The sequence below is a fragment of the Homo sapiens genome, chromosome 8 (genome assembly GCF_000001405.40).
Source record: "Homo sapiens chromosome 8, GRCh38.p14 Primary Assembly".
In the NCBI taxonomy this organism is placed as follows: domain Eukaryota; kingdom Metazoa; phylum Chordata; class Mammalia; order Primates; family Hominidae; genus Homo; species Homo sapiens.
The window spans coordinates 72,952,215-72,960,748 of record NC_000008.11 but is presented as its reverse complement, the minus strand read 5'-3'; positions in this window follow the sequence as shown (position 1 = coordinate 72,960,748).

The window sequence follows — 8,534 nt, the reverse complement described above, 5'->3', positions numbered from 1 at the left end:
GTGCACGCCACCTTGCCTGGCTAATTTTTGTATTTTTTTAAGAGATGGGGTTTCATCATGTAGCCCAGGCTGGTCTTGAACTCCTGGGCTTGAGCAATCCACCCACCTCAGCTTCCCAAAGTGTTGGGATTATAGGCATGAGCCACCACACCCGGTCTTCTTCACCTTTTTGAATGGCAGTGTTTACTGCAGTTATTCCATCCCTGTTCTGCCACTATATGATGGATGTGCTGGGGCAGATAACTTGCTTGGCAGTTTGTAGGCCTTCAGATCAAGTAGAGCTGCAGTTGGACCTGATGTACATTCATGAGATTATGGACCTGATGCAATGATTAGATGAGACTTTTGGGGTGTCTTGGTGAGGGGTGAGGGTATTTTCCTTCCTGGATACAAATGGATCATTTGTGGCAAAGAGGGAGAACTCTGGTGGATGATGATTTTGGTTCATGATTCTTCCTTCCCTCTCTGCTTTTGCCATGATCCACCTGGGCAAAGTATACCTTCCTTCTCAACTGACTTTTGGCTTGGTCACATGACTTGCCTTCACCCATGGTAAGTGAGCAAATATAATGTCCAATCTGAGGTTTTAAATGGACTTGCATGGTTTGGCTAGCCTCTTTCACTTCTGCCATCCACCATGGGAATGACAAGCCCTCGGTAGCCGTGCATCCAAGAATGAGATGCAGAGTCAGTCTAAATCTAGACCCACTCCCGAGTCACAGCCATCCCATTTCACCTGTGAACCTGTGAGTGAAAAAAGATATATTTGTAATTTTAGCCACTAAGATTTTGGGGAGTGTTTCACAGCATTACTACAGACCTGGTGGTGGCCCTGAGGCTAGCAATAGATCCCATTCACTCAGGCCCTGCTTGACTTCATGGAGCATCCAGATCCCATCTTTGACACCGAGAGAAGTTACCGAACAAAAGGCTGCTCTACTCCCTGCTCAGGTGTATGTGTGGGAACCAAAGGCAGGGTGGATTGGGGCCAGCTGCTTCAGGACTGGCCAGTGGAGGCCACGCCCAGCAAGATCAAATGACTTAGGTATTAAAATGTAAACATTTGAATAATGCTAAAAAATGAGAAAAATACAGTTACCATTAATTTTTTTGAAACCAAGAATAAGTACTTGATAAGCAACTAAATGAGTAAATAGTACTTATTTGACAGAAAATGTGGGGAGGAGGAGAAGAGAGAGCGCAAGAAGAGAGAGAAAGAGATATGATAATGCCACATGGCTGGAAGTTAAGGGAATTTCACATTTTAATACCTTTAAACCACTTTAAAATTTTTTCATTTTTAATTATAGTTTTAAGAAAAATGATTTTGAACAACCCCAAATATAGTGCATCTAAAAACTAATGTATATTTGAGTAGACATCACTTATAGTGGAACAGTAGACTGTAGTACATGGTTAATTTTTCTTTTACTCTTAAGATACAATAAAACATGACTAATTTTGCTGTCAAAAATGTAAAGAATAACAATAAATGAAGTTTTTATATTAAAAAAAGATCAAATGACTGAACTTTCTGAGGCATACAAAGCACAACCTAAGCGGGAAGCTCTGGAGGAAGTGGCAGAAGCGGTACTGCCGAAAACTAGTTGTGAAACGGTAGGGGCTAAAACACTTTTATAAACTGGAAATAATAATAAAAATATTTATCCACCACTATAGAGTAAAAATTGAATTAATTTCTATAATTCTCCATAGGAAATGTCACAAAACCGTAATATGAAGAAGTGTTCAAAGTTATTTTAGCCAAAAATATAGAAAGAAAACATTCTAGAGTTGTATCAGGAAGTTAACTACTACTACTAATAATAAAGTATGATACTAATTTTGTCATGTAATGTTTTGGTATTTGTCAGCTTTTTTTTTTTGAGACAAGGTCTCACTCTGATTGCCCAGGCTGGAGTGCAGAGACATGATCTTGGCTTACTGCAGCCTTGACCTCCTAGGCTCAGGTGATTCTCCCACCTCAGCCTCCCAAGTGGCTGGGACTAAAGGTGCACACCACCATGCCTGGCTAATTATTTGTATTTTTAGTAGAGATGGGATTTCGCCGTGTTGCCCAGGCTAGTCTCAAACTCCTGAGCTCAAGCTATCTGCCTGATTTGCCATCCCAAAGTGCTGGGATTCAGGCATGAGCCACTGCACCCAGCCTTGTCAGCTTTTAAAATTTGTAGTTTCGTATGATTTCTTTTTGCATTCTAAAAGTTATTTTCTTTTATATCTGATTTTGTTTCTCTTATTCTTTTTCTTAAAGGGAGCCACAATGTTATGGGAATCCTGAAACTGAGGCAGCTCTATTTAGTGAGGAGGGGAGAGCTTAGAGCTGCCAAAGCACCATGAGGTGACTGCAGATAACTCTGACCCCAAAGGTGGTAGAGCAGTGGGATCGACTGCATTTGTGTCATTGGTGTCATAGTTTGGGTGGCCAAACAGGCCACACTTGAAATTATTACTGGCACTGGAGTTTTCAGCTCCTGAACCAGTAAGTTCCTTTTATTATTTAAGCAAATGTGAGCTTTTTTTTTTTTTGTCACTTGTAATACAAAGTGTGCTAATGGAAATAATGGAGCATAATGCATATAAAATGCAATTCTCTAAAATACCACTCATTCTTTTCATTTCTCTCGGGCCTTATTCTGTCCTAGTTCAGACCCTCATTATTTCTTATCTAAATTATGAAAATAGTGTTCTTGCTTCCAAAACTCAGTTTCTAAGCTTCAATTTCTATACTATAAAATGGGTAGCAGGAGTGCCTTCCTTCTCATGTGGCCCTTGTGACTATTATATAAGATTAGGCACGTCAAGCTCCTAGCATATTTTTTATTGCATGACAAGTAAGTGCTTGGTAACATTTTCCCCCTGTCAAATTTGTCCCGTTTGCTTGAATGTCCTATTCGCTTCCTATCAGATTATGACACTCTCTTCTTCAAGAAATCTCATTATTTATTGTGTAAAGGTGGAATTCCTTAGTATAACTTTCAAGATCCTATAACCTATAACCTCAAGCCACTCTATACCTGTAATGGTTAATTTTAGGTGTCAACTTGACTGAATCAAGGAAAATCTAGAGAACTGGGAAGGCATTACTTCTGGGTGTGCCTGTGAGGGTGTTTCCAGAGGAGACTGGCAAGTGAGCTGGTGGACTGAGTGGGGAAGATCCTCTGTCAATGTGAGCTGGCACCATCCAATCAAATGGGGGCCTGAAAGAACAGGCAGAGGAGAGGTGATTTCCTCTCTCTCTTCTGGAGCTGGGATATTTCCTCTCTCTTCTTCTGTCCTTGGACATCAGAACTCTAGGTTCTTCAGGCTTTGGACCCCAAGTCTCACACCAGCACCCCCACCAATCCCTCCAGGGTCTCAGGCTTTTGGCCTTGGACTGAGACTTATACCATCGGCATCCCTGGTGCTGGGGCTTTTGGATTTGGACTGAGCCAGGCTATGAGTATCCCAAGGGCTCCAGTTTGCAGACAGCCTGTTGTGAGACTTCTCAGCTCCCTAAAAGCATGAGCCAATTCAATAAATCCCCTCTCATATGTCTACTCTGTATCTTTATCTACCCTGTTGGTCCTACCTCTGGAGAACCCTGACTAATACAGCATCTTTATGCATTCTGCAAAGTATTTGCTGCTTCTGGAACACACTGGGCACTGTTTTATTTTTAATCATGGTGCCCTTCCTTCCTTTCCTTTTTTAGCTCCCCAAAGCTCTTCAACACATATGTTGCTTCCTTGGTGAAGCCCTCTGAGGTCTCCATATCCCATTTCTACATCCTCCGCTGTGCTACTGTACTCTGCTTGCACTTTGGTCCTGGCATTTATTTTTTTTTGCCTCTATTTGTAGATGGTAATTTACAGGATATAGCTTCCTTGAGGGCAGAGGTTGCTTCTATTTCTCCTTTGTTTTTCCCACAAGACCTTGCATAGTGTAAGGAGCTCAGCCTGGTGTGCTTTAAGAAATCATTCCTCTCATGTACCTCCTAACAAGGGATGTCCCTGTTCCCTCTCAGTGTGTGTGTGTGTGTGTGTGTGTGTGTGTGTGTGTGTCTATGTGTGTGTGTGTAAAGCTTTTCTATTTAGCATAATGCTTTTGGGATGCATCCTTGCTATTCATTTTCTTTTTCTTGATTACTTTTTTTAAAAAACTGATAAAGTTTTGTATATTTATTGCATGCAACAGGATGCATTTACCTTGACTTCATTGGATCTATTCCTGCTTTCATCTTTTTGGGATATCAGTATCTCCTTTTCATTTTTCTACCCTCATTTGCCCACTTTTTCATTTAATAAATATTTATTGGGCACTATTCAGGTGCTAGAATTATGGAGATGAACAGGCAGACTAGGCTCTGCTGCATAAAATGCTTATTCTGACAGGATGAGGTGGTGGGAGTAGAAAACAAACTACAAATAAATAAAGCAAATAAATAAGCAAATAAATAAACATAAGAAAATATCTGAGTAGGAGGCCGAGTATGGTGGCTCATGCCTGTAATCCCAACACTTTGGTGGGCTGAAGTGGGAGGATCACTTGAGCCCAGGAGTTCGAGACTAGCCTGGGCCACACACAGAGACCCTGTCAATACAAAATATCAAATATAATAAATTAGCCAGGCACAGTGGTGTGTGCCTGTGGACCCAGCTACTTGGGAGGCTGAGGCAGGCAGATTGCTTGAGGCTGGGAAGTTGAGGCTGCAATGAGCTGTAATCATACCACTGCACTCCAGCCTGGGCAATAGAGGGAGACCCTGTCTCAAAGAAAAAAAAAACAAAACTCAAACAAAACAAAACAAAAAACAAGCAATGAAAAAGATTTCACAGTATGATAAGCTATGAGGGAAAATAAAGCAGAGGATGTGATAGAGCACAACATGGCTAGGATGGCCAGGAGTTGAGTGTTGACTCTGGCTTGACTCTTGCCCTCAACAGTGACTCAACTCCTCTGGTGAGGTGCACTGGAGTTGCCTTGGTGATGCCGTTTCTGGCTGCCCCAGGTCCTCCATCCCTCTCTGCACCACACCCAGTGGTGTGATCACCATCCATGGGGCCACAGAAAGGCTTGCACCCTTGAAGGAGAAGCATCCAATTGATGTTGTTGGCAGACCTCTGGTATCTGGATAAAGTCTCTAAAGGGAGGCAGTGCTTAGGACTCATGATATGCTAGACTTTCTCTTCCCTTGTGGCTTTTCCAAAATGTTGTGCAAAAGGAAAAAAAGGAAAATAAAGGAACAAAAAGACAGATGCCTTCGTGTCTTTTCTTTGTCTGTGTTTCCTGATTTGATAATAATATTGGTAATTTGTAAATTGCTTTTCCAGTTTCTCCTTTTTCTTGTGTACTTTTTTTCCCTCCATTGCACTGGCATGTGCTTTGTTCTTTCCCTAAGATAGTCACTGGAAATTGGAATTCTAGTTTGTTTGAGAAGGTCTATGTTGGCTGGGCACGGTCGCTCATACCTATAATCCCAGCACTTTGGAAGGCGGATGTGGGCGGATCACCTGAGGTTAGGAGTTTGAGACCAGCCTGGCCAACGTGGTGAAACCCCATCTCTACTAAAAATACAAAAATTGGCCAGGCATGGTGGCGCACCTTAATCCTAGCTACTAGGGAGGCTGAAGCAGGAGAATCGCTTGAACCTGAGAGGCAGAAGTTGCAGTGAGCTGAGATTGTGCCACTGCACTCCAGCCTAGGTGACATATTGAGACTCAAAAAAAAAAAAAAAAAAAGAGAAGGTCTATGTTATCTTTGGGTAATGTTGGGGAGCTGGGACCCTAGGTTAGACTTCACCCTATAGACAATGGGTTTAAGAATAGATAAAGCCAGATGGTCCTATGTGATGGAATGTAAATGTTAGAATGCCATTATTTAAAGCTGAAAAACAAAATGGGATTTTCTAATTTAAAGCTCTAGCTTCTTTGGGAAATGACTTTATAATAAGCAATATAAGGCAATTTCTTGTCGAAATCAGATGCAACATAAATTATGTTTTTTATGAATTCTGCCTAGAAAAAAATTGAATTCTTAAAATAGAAAAATATTGTCTAATGTTTTTCATTGTTTTTATTTCTTCTTTAAATCACTGGGTTTTCAGAATCAGTTTGTGTCTACCAGTAATGTATGTTCATGAAATTACACTCATCCTAACATAAGGTTTTTCAGCACAAATTAATTTATTCACACAAGTTACAGTAATTCGTTTGCTTGAGTTTCCAGGCCTTAACCTTTGCATCACATCTAGCATTTGGTTTGAGATACATTTGAGAATAATTCTGTAAGCAAGATTTGTGCTTCAGCACAAAAATGTAGATATTCAACCAACAGATGTTTAAAAATATATTATCGTAAATTGCTTGTCTCCCCCTATTACTGATTTGTCATCTGTGCTAAGTGGATATGGAGACAATTTAATGAATACAATTACCATAGACTTTAGCAAAACATAAATTTGATTCTGGAGCACCACAAATTATAAAATCTTGGAAATGAACACAGAAAGGTCATCTGGTTTGTCCTTCTTCATTCCGACAGGTTTGCACTTCTCATTACAACTGGGGGAGAATCTATCCTAATTCTGAAGACATTCTGGGAAGAAGATCTCACCAGCTCTCTCGTTATCGCTAATGTGAAACATCCGTCACTTGTGGAAAATCTGTCTGAAGGACATCTAATTTCCTCAGACTGGAGTTTATTCCCATTTCCTTTAAATGAGACTTCAGTGAGGACCACATAAGATTTCTGTTAACCAACCACTTAGAGAAACGGGATTGAAGGAGCTAGGAGTGCCTATAAAGCTCTTAGAACAGTGTCTGTCATATAATGGGCTTTCAAAGAACATTAGCTGCCATAATAGTAATGATTGTAAAATTATGGAGGGAGACATCAGGTTTTTTGTCTATCTGAATAGTTTTGGGATTAGCAGCTCTGACTGCCTGGTAGTGGTTGATTTGGGTGTTGTACCCTGAGGTTACATCCTGGGTCAGTGGCAAGGAACACATGATTAATGGCTGACATGAGTGAGGGAAGGGGGCAGGAAAGGAATGGCCACATTGCATCAACTGTCTGCCATCCTGTAATGATGACTGTAAGCTCTTTGAGGGGAGGGACCCTATCTTATTAGTCCTGTGTCCCTAGTACTTAGCACGGTGTCTAACAAAGAAGAACAAAATATGTATTGAATAATTGAATGTTGACTATCTTTAAAAAATCACTCAAGAAAATATAAGTTATTGTATGACTGATATTCCTGTCACCTAGTCTCGTGGTACACTTAAAAAAAATTTGTTCTTGAACATATTGCTATTTCTCAGGTCCACCTTCTCTGTTTCCCCTTTGCTGTTTTCTTCAATTTGGCGGAGAGGCCACTGTGACTCTCCTCTGGAGATGCTTTAAGTTCATCCAGGGTATTTGTGAGTTATAGAGGCCAGAAGTAAACCCTGTGTCTTGTGACAACCTTGAATACTGTGATGAGTTTGGCTATTTCACGCTCTGCACTGACACTTCCTGGTATCACACTGGTTTCTTATGTGAAGAATAATAATGTTTAAAGTCATGTGAGCTGTCACCACGTTCCAGCCAATCAGAGACGTTCATGCAACAATTAGCCCTGATCAGAGTCATTGACTACTTTGCCAGTGGTGCTGTAAAGTTGTTGCTGGAGGACTTGGATAAATTTTAGTTCTTAGAAGACTGCCAGAGGAGCCCTAAGGGCTGAGAAATGAAAACCCCGGGGCTGAATATGCTCAGTTTTGGCTCCAGCATTCTCTCTGCTATTCTGCAGCCGTCTGAATCACACTGTTAAACCCATCTGTTTACATGAGGTTGAATATGGAAGAAGGTGGAAAAGGAAGAAAAAATATCCTTTTTTAGTTCTCTTAGAGTAGATGCCATGCTCTTATTCCCCCTCCCACCTTCATCTTTTTTGTGGCCCAAATTGTGCACTGTAGGATTTGTTTTTCTAGGGCTGAGGGAAGAGGGTGAAGAGGGCGACTGGAGCAGAGAGAAGGGACCATATCTTGGGGTGGGAATTTTGCATTCAGCCAGGTCAACAGAGGGAAGACCTGTTTTAATTCCATTTTTCTTAGTTCAGATGGAATCTACAAGTGGATGACTCCTCCCCAACTTCTCCTAGTTATTTTCAGTTAGCTTGTTTCTCCTGATCTTTCAAAAAGAAGGAATCAGGAGATGAGCACGGTGGATAGAAGGGGGAAATTTAAGTGGGAGAGGATTTATATTTCCTTATGTGGACAGAGTGCCCTTCCCCTGAAGACTGCTGGCCCTCTGGGATGACTAAAGAATCCTACTAGCTTTTGACTGGAACAGCCGCTCCTGGCGGGGTGCGGGGTGCAGTCAAGCTTGAATGGTGTGGGTAAGGCAGGCTTTTTAAGCATCCTTTCTTCATCTATGACTTTGACCTTGAGCATTGGCCCAACGTAGAAGGGCTCCTGCAGACTGAATGAGCATGGAGCACACTGCTTCTTGTCTAATTCTCAGAATACGGGACCAAGTTACCCTGCATTACCAGT